The 19047-nt window shown below is 41.2% G+C and overlaps 1 protein-coding gene and 1 long non-coding RNA gene across 10 annotated transcripts in view; one reads left to right on the top strand and one right to left on the bottom strand.

Annotated features, from left to right (window-relative positions):
* WIPF1 (WAS/WASL interacting protein family member 1) overlaps positions 1-19047 on the top strand; it is a 123340-nt gene that overhangs the window by 22734 nt on the left and 81559 nt on the right.
* LOC124907907 (uncharacterized) lies at positions 3806-17903 on the bottom strand. The gene is made up of 2 exons (XR_007087310.1): positions 10287-17903; positions 3806-9201 (listed from the first exon to the last, which is right to left on the bottom strand). It is a non-coding gene; the product is annotated as an uncharacterized LOC124907907 (long non-coding RNA).

Genomic DNA, 19047 nt, shown 5'->3' with positions numbered 1-19047 from the left:
AATCCTGATAGCCACAGAATGGCCTAATTTTACTAACATAGGACAGACCTGTAAATATTTGAAGACAGTTATCACATCTCTCCTGGTTCCAAACCACCTTGCCAAGCTCTTGGGGAGCAGTTCTACCCTGGATCTCTCTGTTTCTCCCAGAAAAGCACAAAGAGTACTGTATAAATTACCATCCACATCCAGGTACTGGTGAGAGGCAAGGGCGCACTATTAATAATTACGCTGGAGTGACAAGCATAAATGAGGACTGTCCTGGGCAAACGAGGATGTGCTTGACCCTACTCCCAGGCCACGGTGGAAAGGCACTGCTTGGAATGCCTTCTGAAGATGTGTTCAAGTGGAATATAGGAAAGTTAAACTTACTATACGCAGATAAATTATGGATGGGAAATCGTTAGGTTTTAGAAGTCTGTCTGCTTTTAGTCAACCTTAGTGCAGTGGAAAGGTGCTCAATGAACGACTGAGTTCTGTAATCACTAATGTGATCCTGGATGAGTCATCTCCTACCCCAAGTTCTCAGTTTCCTCATTAGCAAAATAATGTTGATAATCCGGAGTCCCTTCCAGTCCTGAAACTATGATCCTCTGTCAACCTTCCCTACATAAGCAGTGGTCTGCATCCTCACCTAGAAGCCACCAACATGGAACTTGGAGTTTTTGATCTGTTTCCTGTGAGTTGAGCACTCGTATACCATTACTCGCTAAACCCTAGAGGTAGATTTTTAGAGTCCCAGCAGGATCACCCCTATCTAGCTTGCTTTTGGAGTGTTGATGAAATTGTCCCATGCACTATATTCTTTAAATAATGCTTCTCCTTGAGACACCCATGGATTTTGTTAATACACAAACAGGAAACAGGAAACAGAAAACTGAGCCTCCATTGAAAGTAGCTGTTGAGAGCTGAGTGTGGTGGCTCATGTCTGTAGTCCTTGCTACTCACACTCAGGAGGCTGAGGTAGGAGGATTGCTTGAGACCAGGAATTCAAGACCAGCCTGGGCAACATAGCAAGACCTCATCTATGAAAAAGAGAAACTACCTGTTGACTTTCTGAGGAATGGCTTTATTAAAAGATTTACATTTTATATTTCCTAAAACCTGAATCTGCAAATAATTTCAGTGTTTTACATAATTTATCTTACTAGATCCTCAAAAATGTCTGTGTACAGTAGATATTATCTCCATTTTCCAGATATTGAAACAGAGGCTTAAGGGCTGAAATGACTTGTCCGAGGACATCTGGTAGGTGGTGGTGGGACTGCAATTCACATTCATGTCTGCGGGATCCTTTTCAGTCATCTTTCTACTATTCCCATAGTTTTCATTTTGTGTATGTTTTTTGTAAGTGTAGAACTCATTTTTTTCAAGCAGAAACAAGGCTTTGCTGGATGCTGTGGGGTGTACCTGCCTTCTGTGGGGGGCTCCACCAGACCATCCCGCTATAGAACATGGTCTGAACAACCCTGCACTTTCTCTAAGCTGCCTCACACTGTTTTACCCATTTCAAGGAAATGGGATGCTCATGAGATTCTGCACAATTTCATTCTATGTGAGCTTGTTGCATTTAATTAACTTCACTATGATTCCAAGTCACTTGGGCAAATCATTACAGGGCTTGGAGCAGTGGCATGAACTCAGTCTTTGCTAGGAGCCTTGTTTCCCTTCTCCCTAAGGCTCAGCCATGACCCTCTCCATCCTGTTTCTCACCTTGCCCTGCTGAATTCCAGGCCCACCTGTATCAGTAATGGACTTGGGTCTTCTCTAGATGTTACTTGCTCACTTTTATCATTCATCTACTCACCCAATTAAATATCTACTAAATAAAATTATGTGAAAGGGTTCAGCCTAGTGGCTGGCGTATGAGCAGAACAAGTGTTCATCTGTACTACAGACAAAGCATAGGTCTCTTTTTTTGTGTGGGTGTGAGGTTATTGGGTTGACCATGATAATCTCTCAGGTTCCTTTTGTTGCAGAAACCCGCTGCTCCTAGGCCAGCTTCTTCTCTCTCCTAGAAGGCGAGAATTGGGTTCCTGGCTCATTTTCCCTGCCTGTGCATCCTGTCCTCTCCCCACAGCCTAATGCCTCCACCAGAAGTTACTCCACAGAAGAAGAAAAGTTAAAGAATAAGTTTTTCATTCTCTAGGGTTTCTAGGTCCCAGGGAACATCCGAGGGGGCATCTAGTCAAAGAGCACTTTTATCTAGGGAGAAAAAAAAGAATAGGAAATATTTCTCTCTCTCTTTTTTTTTTTTTTTTTTTTTTTTGAGACAGAGTTTCGCTCTTGTTGTCCAGGCCGAAGTGCAATGGCACAATCTTGGCTCACCGCAACCTCTACCTCCCAGGTTCAAGCAATTCTCCTGCCCCAGCCTCCCGAGTAGCTGGAATTACAGGCATGCACCACCACGCCCAGCTAATTTTTTATTTTTTTATTTTTTATTTTTTTTAGTAGAGATGGGGTTTCACCATGTTGGTCAGGCTGGTCTCAAACTCCTGACCTCAGGTTATCCACCTGCTTTGGCCTCCCAAAGTGCCAGGATTACAGGCGTGAGCCACTGTACCCAGCCTTCTGATTTTTTTAAGTCTAGCTTTTATTCTCAGCCATGTTTGAAAGGAGTTCATGTTCAGTTTCACTAGTGGACAGGACATCGACATTAATGCTGCAGGCCCCTTTTCTGTCACTTAGTTCTGGAGCTTTGAAAACCCTGGGAGCTGATTTTTCCCTTCCCAAGCATGCAGCATTCAAGCCGCTGGCTTGTTCCTGAATTCACTTCTTTACTTTAAATATCTATCACATAAAATTTATTAATTGGAGGTAGGTTTAAGAGGCATGCTATTCTAGACATACATTGATAATTTTACCTACTAAACATCATTCAGAAATTTCAAAGCATTAGTCCAGTATAATACGTTAGAAAATATTCTTGGCATTTTGTTTTATGGTTTTTTACAAAAGACAGATACTTCGCTTAGGCCATAGTTCTTACATAATGATTTTTTTCTTTCAGGAAGAAAAGCAATTATTAGAAGTAGCAATCCAAGATTCCATCAAGCCAGTATAAATGTAGCAGTCTGTCTTCTCATTCTGAGATGTGCATGCTAATGTTGCTAGCTAATATTTAGGATTCAAAATATAGTCTAGCCAGAAAATATTCTGGATTATGTAACAGTGTGTATCAGCTGTCTCTAGGGGGTGTATGTGCATATGTGTATAGTGTAACTGATTGGATGCCTGGGTTAAAGGCACTGAGTAGCTGTCTATTTTGTTTTTACTAGTTCACTGACAAGTCATTAACTGTCTGTATAAAAATTAACCATTCTGATCTTTGGATGGTATTTTTCACACTGAACTGAACATTTGGTGCCCAGTTAAGCCAGGAGTCTCCATAGTATTCCAGTTTCCCCTGAGCACAGCAGCCTCTATGCCCTCATCCACAGCTGTAGATCTGCTCTGCTGGCAAGTAAGAGGAAATAGAACAGCAGGGATAGGTTGGCCATGGGATTCTAAGCAGTTTCCATTTGTGTGTTAGTGTTCACATCCCCTCCTTGGTTGGACTTCTTAACTTTAATGTCAAACCTAGAATCTCTTTTTCACAAAAGAGTAGGAATATCTTTTCATTGGAGAATATCTTAAAACCAAAGAAACTGACAGAGGAAAAATGTGATGTAATGTAAATGGAAGCTGGTGGTATGAGTTCCTCTATTTCCTGTTAGTTCTGTTGCTATTTTCTTGACTCTGCTCTTCCTTAGAAGTGTTTCTTAGAGACATTGAGATGTCTTTGCATGAAACTTATTCTGTGAAGTAATTCTTCATTCCCTTTTATTCATTTATTTAGTTTATCACAGTTACATATTGCTATGTAAGAACCACCCTAGAATTTTAGTGGCTTACAACATTAGTCATTTTACTTGCTTGAAATTCTGCACTCTTGGATGGGCTCAGCTGGGCAGCTCTTCTGCTGTTCTTGCCTGTGGTCAGTCTTGTAGTGAGTTATCTGGTCAGGACTCAGCTGGGAAACAGGGATGGCTGGGCTTCTCTCTCCATGTAGAGTCAGGACCCCTTGCCCTTCAAGTGGCCTCTCTATGTGGTCTCTTCAGGGTCTCAGCAAGGTCACAGGGCTTCTTACTGGTGGCTAGGATCACAAAAGCACAAGTGGCAGGGTGTCGCTTCTGCAGCATTCTGTTGGTTAAAGCCCAAATTTAATGGAGGGGACCACACAAGATGTAAATACCAGAAGACATGGTTCACTGGAGGCCACCAATGGAATAGATTACCACATAGTCATTCTTCAGTCAACTAATATTTACCAGGTACTGAGCATATAGTAGTGAACAAGCAAACTGTGGCCCCTGCCCTCATAGAGCTTATAGTCTGTGGGGAGCACAACTGAGTGATCAGGAAATTACCACACAGTGTGGTGAGTCTGGGCTGGAAAAACTGTTGGGTGTCTGGGGTGCACTTTGGGAAGGGTACATAACCCAGGCCTGGACTTTTCATGGAAGTATCCAATAGAGGAGTCATCCTGTGGAGATGGTTGAAGAAGGTTGCTGGCAGAAGAACAACATGCTCCTAGGCCAAGAGACCAGAAAAACATGGCCCTTTCATGGAACTGAAAGAAGTTTTGTGGTGGTAGAGAGTAGATGTAGAAAGTAGAGCTGTTGGGAGAGGAGCTGTCATACCTAGGGTTTGCAAAATAAAAGGCATGAGAATTAATGAGAATTAAGCAGGGGCCTCATCACATGTTATAAGCTAAGTAAGCCATGTTAAGAACACTGGACTTGATCCCAGTCATGGTGGGAAGAGGATTTTAAGCAGATCCGCCTCTCAGAGTGGTCATAATATTAGTTATAGCATACTAAGAACGGAGGGAGGTGGGCCTGGGACCTGAAGGAAAATGCTACAGAAGGCCGGGCAAGGGAGGGAGGTGGATGGCCAATGGTATGGATCTCAGGGGATGGATTCCAGAGATACTAAGGAGTAGATCTGCAAGTGTTGGGGATTATGGGGGTGAATACGAGGGAAGGGGCAAGGGTGATCCTCAGATTTCTGGCTTGGGCAGCCAGTCATGGTCTCATCTTGCAATAGGGAACACTGGAAGTGGAACATGGTTGGACCTCATGGAAATGGGCTGGAATACTGAGGAGAGCCAGCGTGGACATACCAAGTTAGATGCCTTTGAATTCAGTGGTCTGCCACAAACCTTTTTCAGGACTAATATGTTGTGAGCCTCTTAGGTGCTTCTTAGCTCTGCTTAGCTTCCTTGCCTCTCACATACTTTGCTCCTTTTTGCTTCTCCCCTGTCCTCTGGTAGAGAAGAGTAGAATGACCAGGTTTGTGGCAGTGGGTCAGAGACGCTGGTGATGCACAGTTCAGGACTGGGGTTGGTGGGTTGCAGAGAGCAGTTCAGGACATAGGGTTGAGAAGCGCAAAGGTGAGAGGAATTGGGGAGCAATCGGAAGATATAGAAGGGAAAAAAACCAAACTAGTCAGAAGAGAGTTAAGAACTGACTGCAGACATAATAAGGGCAAGGAAAGTATGAATCATCTGAGGAGGAAAAAAAAAAAGGAATAAAGTAGAAAAGGCAAAGAGAAAGGGGGTTGGTTCCACAAGCTATGGCCTGTAGCACAGAAGACTCTAGAATCTTGTTCTTTTGTGCCTCCTTTTTACATTTGCGTTCAAAAATTAGAAAAGTAAAATAAGCCTTTTTTTCTGAAAGCTTTAATGAATAGAAAGGGGGCCTTCAGACAAGCTTTCTCTTTATATAAAAAAGAAACTGAGCAGTTAATACACAAAGATAAACTCTAGTTTTTAGTGGAAGAAAAGGACTCCTAAGAAAAGAAAGGGACATACAAACAGTTAAAGTGAATGAAAAAGAAATTTAGTAGAACACTTTGTTGTCTATTCCCAAGTGATTTGACAAAGAAATATCTGTAGCCTCAGAGAATGGAGAGAGAGCATGTCTCCATGATCAATTTTTAATAAACATAAATGGTACAATAAATTATGCATGGAAGAATGATATAAAGCATTAAACAATAAAGGATAAATAATTTAAATGATTAAAAACTGCCTCTGTCATATGTTTGATGTATGAGAACTCTATTTGAATTTTCTCTTCAAGGAAGTAGAGGAGGATTTTTAAAGGGGGCTTTTTAAAAATAGATTTACTAAGGGGAGAATCTGTGGTGGTCTACCAGGAGAGGTTGTTGAGTACGGAAATGCCTGCCTCACACAGTCCATGACTTGTGCTTTCTCTGATAAATATGTGAGTAGCACCTTGCTGATGGATGGTTTTATGTCAGGTGATCAGTGGCAAAGCACTGCCCATCTTCTAGAAGACTGAGACCCGAACTTTCTTTTCAGGTATCCAGAGAAACTTTGTCAGGGGTCAGAAGTACTGTGAACTCTGTTTCTTTTTTTTTTTTTTTTTTTTTGAGACAGAGGCTTGCTCTGTTGCCCAGGCTGGAGTGCAGTGGCGTGATCTCGGCTCACTGCAAGCTCCGCCTCCCAGGTTCACGCCATTCTCCCGCCTCAGCCTCCCAAATAGCTGGGACTACAGGCACCCGCCACCACACCCGGCTAATTTTTTTTTTTAGTATTTTTAGTAGAGATGGGTGTTTCACCGTGTTAGCCAGGATGGTCTCGATCTCCTGACCTCATGATCTGCCCGCCTCGGCCTGCCAAAGTGCTGGGATTACAGGTGTGAGCCACCGCACCCGGCCTGAACTCTGTTTCTTACGCAGTCTTAGACTTCCAGGACAGGATTCCTAGGTAAGAGGTACTATCCCCATATATTCACTGACACAGGTAAGCTCCATTTCTATCCCAAAATTAGAGTAGCTGGGTGGGTTACACCCAAAGAAGTGTCAGCAAAGATAGGCCCCTGCTTGTTGGCCACTCACCTTAGGGGAGCCACGTTCATCCAGAGCACCATATTCTAACATGGAGTGGTTAACACCATAGGTGTTGGGGGCAGACATACCTCAGTATGAACCTAATCTCTGCCACTTACTAGCTTTAGGACCTTTTTCAGGTTAATTTAAATTTCCTGAAGCCCAGTTTCCTTATTTGTAAAATGGGCCCAGTAATACCCACCCCAAAGGACTACTGATCATTAAATAAAATACTTAGCACCTGGACATAGTACATTCTCATTATATGTTTGTTATTAGCTACAGAATTATATATTCAATGTTTATTTTCTCATAGAGGAGTGGAAAACAGACCAATCTCATAGAGGAGTGGAAAACAGACCAACAGAACTAGGGCAAAAAACCATAAATCTAGGAAATACCCGCCACCTAATCTAAATTAAGGATTATAAGCTATGGTTCAAAGGCCAGTTTTGGAAAATGAAGTTTTTTTTTGTTTTTTTTTTTTTTTTAAATGGAATTTACATACCTTAAGGCAAATGTTTCCAGTGAACTTCAGTCCCCAGTACTTCCACTGACTTACCCCAGCCACACTTACTCCTCTGCCAGCCTGGCTGTGGTAGGAGTTTGAGTTTGCCACCTCAAGCCTAATGGTTAGCTCTATAAATTTAAATTATTTCCCCCTAAGGTTCCTAGCTCCTTAAATGCTTTAATTTAACCTCGGGCATCTGATTGCTATATAGCCTTAATGGAGATGGGAAAAATCACCAAAGGAAAATACTAAAGGGCCAAAGATAGACAACAGATTTTCCACCAGTTGTATCCTTTTGTTGTTATTCCAAATTAATATTTACATAACGTCCATGTAGGCATTATATTGCCCTGGGACTGTGGCCTCCCACAATTCAGAAGCTGATTTTCTAGAAATATAATCGCAGACACTTAGTGGCTCATATTCTGTAAGCACACAGGCTTATCATTAAAAATTTCAAGTTCAAAATGTTAGTGCACCAGACAAGAGGCTGAAGATTTACTGTAGGTATTTTAAAACATGATTGTAAATACGTTGACTCTCCTCACAATGAGAGGTGGGCCTGTGGTCCTTCCCCTTAAATGTGATGGGGGAGAGGTTGTGACTACTTTGACCAAGGGAGTACGGCAGAAATGACCCTGTGTAACTTCCAAGGCTAAGACATAAAAAGCTATACTTCTGCCTCGTTCATTGGAAACACTTGCATTTCGAGACTTGAGCCACTATGTAAAAAGTCCAGCTACATGCCATAAAGGCTTCATGTAAGTGCTCTGGATGACAGTCTTGGTTGAGTCTATACCTTATCCTTCCTAGCCTTGTACCAGGCATCTACATGAAGAAGCCTTCTTGGAAGTAGATTGTCCAGCTCCAGTGTTCTAGCCCCCAGTTCATCAAGTGACCCCAGCTAAGACCACAGATATTATGGAACAGAGAATAGCTGTCTCCACTGTGCCATTTCGGAATTCCTGAGCCAAGAATCTGTGAGGATAATGAAATGGTAGTGGTTTTATCTAGCTGAGTTTTGGGGTCCTTTGGTTATGCAGCAGTAGATAACTGGAGCACTCATCCAATAAAGTTGTCTGGCTTCATAGCTTGGGTAGTTACCATATAACACATCGTTGTGTTTGTAAGATCTTGATTGTGAGAACCACCTGGTTGCATCAAAGTGTGCTGTATTACTGCTAGTTTTTTTCCATACAAGATAAACATTGGGGAGTTCGCTAACCAGTTAACAGATATTTATTGAGCTGGGACCCAGAGTGAGAGGCAACAAAACCAAGCTCTGCTGCAATTTTATAGTGTATTTGAAAAGGTATGTTACTATTGTTTTTCATTTAGCAGTAACTCAGTGTTATCATTCTGAAGTAGAAACAACAACTTTGCTCGGTGATGATGAATTAGTGCATAAAAAAGTACTTTGTTGTTTTTTTTTAAAAAAGATAGTAGTGTTGATTCATGTAAATACTTAATGTAATAATTATTTTAGGTTAATGGATAATGCTACTAGTTTGTGCTACAAAGAGCATTTGCAGAGTAATCTGAGCATATACAGGAAGATGAGGCTGTTAGGGCCTGAGGTAGCTGGTGCTTAAGAAGCAGCTGACCTGAAATGACAGTCTTAGTACTTCCACTTGGAATCAGTTGAGCGGTCTCCACAGATGACTTAGAAGTTTGAACGTCAGGACATTGCAGATCACAGGGCAGATCTCTTCCGAGAAGTTGTGTGGAGAAAACTTTTTATTCTTTCCATTCACTGGTTTAAAAGCCCAACAAGCAATGCGAAAGCCAATTCCCTGTGAATCAAAAGTTGTGTTCCTAGATTAGGGATGGCAAATCCACAGCACGTGTGATGCCAGTCTGTAGGGCTGTCTCTGTAGACATAAGTTTGCCATGGTATTGTTCTCATCCAAGCTGTGTGGTGATCACATGCAGGTTCTCATGGCAGGCACCTGCCTGGGCATTCCTCACTGCCCAGCCTTCTGAAAGAGCTCATGCGCACATTGAATCAGAGCAAGGGTCCCTAGCATAGGGATGAAGAAATAATAGATTGGATGCTTTCTATTTGTCAAAGACTTTCTATCTTATTTAGATACCTGTTTCTCTGTTTAAAATATTGTCAGGAGATGTACTGTTTAATACTAAAAAGGAAACTGAAAAGCTAAAGAGAGTCAATCATCATGGAGAAGAACAGTCAGGATGGTCTTAAGATTCAGTGAAAGTAGAAGGTCCAGGAAACAACTCCCATATACAGGAGCTTATAGGAGGAGTAACAAAGGTGGTTTCGTATCCCGGTGTTTGCCGTATAACTGTAAATTACCCAACAGGTTAATTGAGACTGAATCAGCATTTAAAAATTTTGAAGCTCTTACATGTTGTGTGTACACAGAGTGAACTGATCATTTATAAAACTGTCAAACTAAACTGCAGATTTTGAGAATGAGGGATTCCTCTGTTCTCAGTTGCTGGGAGGCAGTCATCTTTCGTTCATTCAGGAAACACCTGCAAGGTGCCAGACCATTTTCCCCACCCAGAAGGAGACAGACATGTAGAGGAGGATTTCTAGTGGACTATACTGGTGCAGTGGTAGAGTAAGGGGGCACAGCTGTACCTGGGAGGGTCTAGAAGGAAGAGGTCCCCTGAACCAAGGCCAAGAGACAAAACACCTCTTTCTGAGGTGCTCACTGCCTTAAGTGTTGACAAAACCCCAAATACTCATCTTTACTTCATCAGCTTGGGATAAGGAGAACTGACACACTGGAGGGGCTACTCAGAAAGAAGGGTGATTTAGAATTTATTTAGCCTTAAGATCACTGCAGCAGCACAGGTTCTAGTCTGTTATTGTCAGGACTGGAGGAACCATGTGGAGATAAAGTCTTACCTGGTCTAGTTCAGTGAAGTTAAGGTTTACAGTCATGCATAAAGTAGAAATTACGTCTATTCAGAATTATTCTTGATTACTATTTCCTTGGTTGACTTTCAGATTGTTTTGTATTCTTTTATGTGATGGTCAGTCAGGAGTAGCCTTGGGAGAAGACACAGGAGAGGCTCAGGAAAACAACATTTATTGTACTTACGAGTCCTACATATAAAGGCACAGCACACCACATAGGGCCACATGGGAAAGACACCAGGGTGGTCAGGAGGCAGAAAACAGGAACAAGGGGAACATTTAGGCCAGAGCTTTTATTGGGGTTTCCTTGGGAAAGGCAAGGCAGGGCAGGATGAAAACAGTTTAGGGTTGGCTAGTTTGAATAACTTCAGCAGGCTCTAAACTATAGGGGTGACACGTAGCCCTGGGATGACCAAGGCAGAGGAATATTGTCTCCTGGGGTATATGGGCCAGATAGGGGAGAGCTGACTCTGGATTGATTAGTTTGCATATCAAAAGCATTTTCCTGACTGAACCCTTGTTATCTCTGAAAGTTGGCTAGCCCCAGAAGGAGCAATCTCTCCCCAGCCAGAAAGCTTTTAAAGTTGTCTCAAACATAATAAAACACAGGAAATATATACGTGTGTGTACCCAATACACAGATGAAGTAGCTAGTTGCCATTTATGGGCTCAGCATCTGAAATACGTGTATTTTTAAAGGCTGGAATCACCCCTAGTATGGCCTGATGATGAAAACACTGAGAGTCTTGAAGAAGAACCTGCAGATTCATGTCTGTCATCTCAGGATACTGTGGGGGCACGTTCACTATGAGGAGTGGTGGGGGAAATGGCCATCACTGTTTAAATTACTTTCTTTCTCCTTCTCCCTCAAGCATTAAAAGTTGGATTTATGTAAGTTAAATGTGCCTGTTATGCAAACTGCACAAATGTGAAATGTAATCTCTACATTGGTTGGGAATTCCTAACCGAATTCTTTTTTAATAATTTGCATAGCCCAAGGCAGTCTGTCATTAATGACAAGGGGGAGGGGTTGCTTTGCTTTGTTTGTTTTTGTTTTTATAACCCTAAATCCTTGTTTTTAATCAGGCTAGATGTGTTTTTTAAAAGCCGAATTCTTGCATCTAATTGTACATTCCATAGCACACTGGACTTGGTCACAACCTATTTTCCCCCTGTATATTCTTTGTTGCTTTGGGAGAGATTCATGCCTATAAAACCTAGTTACTAGAAATCTCAGCATGCTTTCATGAATATTACAGTTCATGTTGCTAATTTTCCAATAATAAAAGAAGTAGAGTTTATTAAAAACCATTATCAACTTACTGCAATATTCCATTAACTCCTATTCTCCCTCCACTTGCATCAGTGTTACTAATGCTCCACAGTGCACCAAAGGTTAAAAGGCAGTTTACACAAAATGTTCAGGAGACATATTTCAGTAAACACACTTATGTTATTAGACACAGAGATGGCTGATCATTTCTGTATGCAGATGTGTCATTGGAAGCTAATTGGTGGATATTATGTTGCTTTTAGTACCTTGCTTATATCATTGAGAAGTATGCGATAGTAATTTAGTAAATAGCACCCTTGTTCTACTTTAGGCACCACCCAGAGCACCAACCTTATTTCTGGAAGTTGATTGAAGGCAAACAAAATAATAGATGTCACTATACAACGTACAATGTTCCCCATTCATTATGACTGCCACTAATTAATAAAATCTCGAGAGATGTTTCTGTTTTGTAAGTCTGCTTCCTTCACAGAATCATGTAAGTCAGCCTGTCTGCGGCCATTTCAAAATCTGAATCATAACCCAGAAAAAATGTGACTAACACACGGTTGGATTTGATGTTGCTCAAATGGATGTAACCCACTCTCTAATTGTAACCTGAATAAATCTTGAGACCCCACATGGTCCGGATTCTGCCTGGAGTCTCTTTCAAACAAAACATATCCCAATCCCAGAAGCATTGAAGAATAACCTATCTCTTTAATCTAGGTTCTTCTAAAAGGCATGGCTTAAAGGTTTTATGCTTTATGCTACATAAACAGTTTCTCCAAAATTCTTTGTAGCCACCTTTTCCTCTACCTACCTTCATGGCTTCTGCTGAAACCTCTCTTTATCTTTCTTATCTAACATATTTTCTCATTAGCCATGAGGCTTTCCTCATTTTTTTTTATCATGGAGATGTAATTCATATGCCGTTTTCCTGCCTTTTTTTTTTTTTTAAGACAGGGTCCACTTTGGGAGGCCAAGGGGGCACGGATCACGAGGTCAGGAGTTCAAGACTAGCCTGACCAACATGGTGAAACCTCATCTCTACTAAAAATACAAAAATTAGCCAGGCATAGTGGCACGCGCCTGTAATCCCAGCTACTCAGGAGGCTGAGGCAGGAGAATGGCTTGAACCCGGGAGGCAGAGGTTGCCGTGAGCTGAGATCGCGCCATTGCATTCCAGCCTAGGTGACAGAGCAAGACTCAGTCTCGGAAAGAAAAAAAAAAAACAGCATCTCACTGTGTCGCCCAGGCTGGAGTACAGTGGTGCAATCATAGTTCACAGCAGCCTCGGACTCCTGGCCTGAAGGGATACTCCAGCCTCAGCCTGCCAGATAGCTAGGACTACAAGTGTGTGACACTGTGCATGGCTAATTAAAAAAAAAAAAAATGTTTTGGAGACAGGATGTCGCTCTGCTGCCCAGGCCAGTCTTGAACTCCTGGTTTAAAGCAATTCTCCTGCCTCAGCTTTCCTCCTTACTTTTGATCAGACACAAATATTCTCACTCTTCCAAATTTAGGAAAGTATGTGCTTCACCACCTCCAGGCTCAAAGTACCCTTAATGGATTTCCTTTCCTGCTTTCTAGCTAGACTGTACCTCTCTGGGATAATCTGCAGCTCTGTTCCGTTTGATTTCTGAATATCCTTTATTTCCTGCATGCAAAACACCCTCAGAAATAAAGTTCATGGCTCTGCGTGGTGGCTCACGCCTGTAGTTTCAGCACTTTGGGAGGCGGAGGTGGGCAGATTGCTTGAGCCCAGGAGTTCGAGACCCACCTAGGCAACATGGCAAAACCCTGTCTCTACTAAAAATACAAAAAATTAGCTGGGTGTGGTGGTGAGTGCCTGTGGTCCCAGCTACTCAGGAGGCTGAGGTGGGATTGCTTGAGCCTGGGAGGTGGAGGTTGCAATGAGCCGAGATTGCACTCCAGCCTGGGCGACAGAATGAGACTCCATCTCAGAAAAAGAAAGAAAGAAAGTTCTTTGCTTGACTCTGGTTGCCTTTCTTGTGAGAAATTCTAATATAGATTTCCCGAGAATAAAATTTTCCACCTACAATAGTAACAGTAACCACCGTTTATGCGCTGCAGTGGCTAAACTCTTTGCAGCATCACATTTAATACTCACATTGAATAATACTAAAGTTATCTCCATGTTATAGATGAGAAAACTGTGACCCAAAAGAATAAAGCAATTAATTGCAACTAGTAAGTAATGGATTTGGTATTTGAACCCAGGCAGTTTGATTTCAGAATTCTTTCTTTCGGGAGTGATATGAACTTGTTTACCAATTTTGCCCCGTTTGATGTGCTCCTAAATATGGAGGAGAGGGATGCTCCTGAGTAGGAAGAATATACAAATAGATTATTAATTAGGTGTTCTCTTGGTCCCGTGTTACATATATGTGAGGAAAACACAAATTCTGAATCAAAGCCACCAATCTCCATAACGAGAGACACCTTACTGTTCAGGATCACTCCTGACACTTTTCGCATGCTGTTGAATTGTTTACATTGCCTATGTTAATCTCTTCACTGTTCTGCCCAAAAGAAAGGAGCACCAAATGTAAGATGGTGTCTTGCTTCTCAGTACTGTCGTTCTGCTACGTCTGTTGTTCTGTATTTATGAGCCTTCTTAAAACTCACCCTGGATGAATGGCAAGGCTTTCCTATGTGTCCCTAGCCAGTCATTTTATGAACAAGGAAATTTGCCATTTTCTTTCAATGTTTTGGTCAACAACAAAGATGAATATAGGGCCTAATTATTTGGAATTCAGTTGCACAACGTTGGAAAGCGCCAGTTTGGTTGTTGGCATCAGGCCCTGTGTTATGCCGAAGAAGAATAACCCCACTAGGTAGGGCTCTAGCTTTGAAGACAGCTGGTCAAAGGGCTTGAGAATTTTGGCTTAGATCACATCACAATGGTATCAACAAGGTACCAGTGTATAGTCTACCAGCAAGAGAACTTTCTTGACCTTTCAACTTCCTTTAGCTGTTCCAAGGGTCAGAAACAGCATTTGCTGGCTTTTGCAGGATTGTTAATGAGGAGAGGCTTTGCATGACATAATACTCCAAAAATCCCTCAGGGTCATTTTAGAAACAATTGCCCTGGGGTCTGGCTGGACCATTTGACGTACATTGTAAAGCACAGACCATATCTTGCCACAGTTACCTGCTGCACAACTCATGTGGTGTGCATGGGTTTAAATTTCTCTCAGAGACAGAACAACAAGAAGGCAGTTATGGTGTGTACTGGAAATGACACTTGACTTATAGTCAGAAACGGGTTCAAATTCCAATTTTATCACTTATTTACTTATTTGAACAAATCTCTTCAATTCTTGGAACCTTAATCTCCTCATTGGTAATATAAGAATAATTACATATAATATTTAACTCAAAGGGTTGTTTAAGCTAAATTGATTTTTTTAAACATGTAATATTAAAACAGAAACACTCTTTTAAGGTATTTTACCACACTTTCTCGTGGTCCAAACCAAGGTTTCATTTCAGTAAATCGAGTGACTGACAGGTTTACTTGCTATACCTTTATCCCTATTCCTTCCCCTCTACTCTAGGCTTCTCTATGAAAAATCAAATAAGGAATTTTAGTGTTAACTTTCATTCAAACACATAAAAAACCACACAACAATATTTGTATTTTATGGCCAGAATTTCCGCCATATCCCTCCAGTGATATCAAAGCTTTAAAAATTGAAAAGTACTTCATTTTTTAAAAGAGAAGAAAAAAAGATTGTGAATTCTTGTTTACTACTGTGCCTCCTGAATTAGACATTAGGAAACTCAGAATTCTAGCCATTCAGCAGGTCTAGCAACATTATTTTCTCAATTGAGCTCCTCAACTCTTTAGCAATTATGTTTACATTTTTCGTGACATCACCTAATCTAGAACAGATTCCTCAGTTATGATGGCTTTTAGTGACTGGAAATGAGGTAGTAGGAAACCCACCCTGAGAGCCTCCCTTCTACAGATACCTCTGTAGATCTCCAGATTGCCTGCATGTCTCAAGAGTCCAAAATTTGTAGAAGCAGTCCCCAGGATGTTTTTGGTTATGTCATAGCCAGTGGGTTCCTTGCTGCCTCTACCCCACACTTACCCACATTATTTGTGAAAGCTGTAGCTTGTCCTCCATATAGGGAGGGGGGTGGGGGAGTGAATATGGATACCTGGCAGCATACCCTTTTAGAAAGATTTCTGATGCCTGTGTAATATTACAACCTCTTATACAATTATTCTTATTAACATGAACCTACCACTACATTTCTCAAAACAACAGAATGACTTTACCAATTAATAGAGTCCTACTATGTAGTTCTCTGATGTTTATGAAGAAAGGTCACATGTATTTGATCTCTTGAAAAAAGTATTAAGTAGGATTTCTAAACCATTACATATTAAAACACATACACAGCTGGGGTGGAGGGTACTATACTAATTAAGAGCATGATCAGTCAGAAAAAGTCTAGAAAAGAGGGGAAAGACAGGAAGAAAATAATATAACTGAACACATGATAAAATTGCAGGAATAAGTTAAACAAAAATAAATGTGACTAGGTTAAATTCTTCTAATAAAATCAGTGACTCTCATTGTTTAAAAAGATAATCTAGCTATATACCATCTTTAGGAGTCATATGTATAGCAAAATAACACAGAAAGGATGAAAAGGGGATAGGTTAGTGAATGCTAACTAACAAAAATCAGGACAGTAATATTAATATTTAAAAATGTAGGATTGAATGTAAAAAAAATACTAAATGAGACATAGAATAAGAAATACAAATCCAACAAGAGGATTTAACAATAATGAACCTTTATGCACTGAGTATCCTAGCACTGAAAAATCTGTTAAAAATACAAATAAAATAATACAGGCCAGGCATGGTGGCTCACGCCTGTAATCCCAGAACTTTGGGAGGCCAAGGTGGGCAGACCACTTGAGGTCAGAAGTTGGAGACCAGCATAGCCAACATGCAAAACCCGGCTCTACTAAAAATACAAAAATTAGCCAGCTTGGTGTTGCGTGCCTGTAATTCCAGCTACTTGGGAGGCTGAGGCTCGAGAATCTCCTGGACCCAGGAGGCGGAGGTTGCAGTGAGCTGAGATTGCACCACTGCACTCCACCTTAGGTAATGGAGTGAGACTCTGTCTCACACACACACACACACAAAATACATATAAATAAAATTTAAAAATTTAAAATACAAATGAAGTTTTTCATCGTGATAGTGGGAGGCTAACAAAATGCTTTCAATATTTCATCAAGTAGACAAAAATAAATAGGAACAGAATATTTGAATAGCATTTTTCCATTATCATTATTGACTTAACCCAACAAATAGGACATACACACAATTTTTTTAAAAGATCATGGAGCATTTACAAAAATTGATTAAATACTCAACCACAAAGAAGATGTCCAATTAACAAAAACTAGACATGTATTGGCCACATATAATAGTATAGTAGCATTGAAAATTAACACAAGATGGTTCCTTCCCCCACCTCCATCTAAGCACTTAGAAATTAAGGTATGATCCTTCTAAATAATCCTTGGGTCAAGAAAACCAGTACTAAAACTATGGACTATTTAAAAGTTAACAATGAGAATATAATGCATCAAAATGTGTGGAATAGGACTAAAAATACACTTAAATAAGTTAAGGCTTTTATTTAAAAGGACTGGAAAAAATAAGATTGTGACTTAAGAAGCTAATAAAATAAAGCAAAACAAAGTGGGGAAAAGGAAATAAGAAACGTGGAGGAGGTGCCAGGTGCAGTGGCTCACACCTATAATCCCACTGCTTTGGGAGGCTGAGGTAGGAGGATCATTTGAGGGCAGGAGTTCAAGGTTTCCGCAAGCTATGATCATGTCTCTGCACTCCAGCCTGGGCGACAGAGGGAGACCCAGTCTCAACAACAACAACAACAAAAAAGGCCGGGCGCGGCGGCTCATGCCTGTAATCCCAGCACTTTGGGAGGCCGAGGCAGGTGGATCACGAGCTCAAGAGATGGAGACTATCCTGGCTAACACAGTGAAACCCCTTCTCTACTAAAAATACAAAAAAATTAGCCGGGCGTGGTGGTGGGTGCCTGTAGTTCCAGCTACTCGGGAGGCTGAGGCAGGAGAATGGCATGAACCTGGGAGGCGGAGCTTGCAGTGAGCCGTGATTGCGCCACTGCACTCCAGCCTGGGCGACAGAGTGAGACTCTGTCTCAAAAAAAAAAAAAAAAAAAAAGGTGGAGGAAGGAAGTAATGAAGATAAAGCAGAAGAAAATTAGAATTTAAAATAACATAAAAATAAAAGAAAATTAGAATTGACAGGAAAGCAAGAATGCAGGGTCCCTAGGAGAGCTGCTGCAGTGAGAATGGAAAGCTGAGATAAGGGAATGTTAAACATTGTCCTTGCCCTCCTTGCAGCTTAGGTTTGGTTGAAGTGAAAGGCATGTGCAGAAAATAAAGAATAGGACTATTCAATAAAGTGGTCATTTATGAATATAGAGTTGGTATTCTATCTTGGTATGGTATGGTAAATCTGGTATGGTTGGTATGGTAAATCTCTCTATAGCAAAGAGTAGCAGTTAGGCTCTGAGTCTCTGCACCGATAGAACTGAACCTGTATATTGGCTTCAGACTTATCAAGAGACTCTGGAGAGGTTAGTTAACCACGTAAATCTTAATTACTCTGTCTGTAAAGTGGAGATCACAGTACCTACCTCACAGGATTATAATGAGAATTAAATGAAAATATGTATATAAAGCACTCAGCTCAATGTCAAAGCATGTGGCACAGGCTTGGTAAATGGTTGCTGAAAAAAGTCAGTGCAGCATCTCTTCCAGTCCCTCCTGGGTACTGGTGAGATGAGTAAGGCACTATCAGTATTTTGGTACACTTTATACAGGAGTGGGACAGTAAATAGTATTTAGAGTAGCCAAGTTCTGCCTACCTGGATGAAAAGGTTGGGCATTTTGTCTGTGACCATTTGTAAGATATGCCAGTGGGAAATGGTTGAATTAGTCTCTGTCCATTAAAAGAAAAAAGATCTATAAAACATCATGCTCCCAAAATAACAGCGGTTCATTAGCTGGAGAGAAAATCCTGGCCACAGAGAGGGGACTCCTGGTCAGTCCTGCCACTGTGCACTTATTTATCTGTCTCAGTAGGAAAGCAGAAGCAAGGAGACCTTTGGATCTGCCTGCTGACCAGTCAGCACATTTGCTCCTCATCAGCCAGACTGAAACTCCATTCTTGCAACCCCTCAGCATCAATATTAGGTTGCCCAGGCATGATAATGGACTCATGAGGTCTTGGAAAAGTAATGGAGTAAACACAAAAGGAGTCAGTAAACCCAGAAAAGAATTTAACACCTTCCCTCATCCTTCTGCACATGGATATCCAATGTTCCCAGCACCATTTATTGAAGAGAATGTCTCTTACCCAGTATGTGT

This window comes from Homo sapiens, chromosome 2 (genome assembly GCF_000001405.40).
Source record: "Homo sapiens chromosome 2, GRCh38.p14 Primary Assembly".
NCBI lineage: Eukaryota > Metazoa > Chordata > Mammalia > Primates > Hominidae > Homo > Homo sapiens.
Note: the sequence above shows the minus strand (reverse complement) of the source record. Positions and strands in the feature narration are given on the sequence as shown.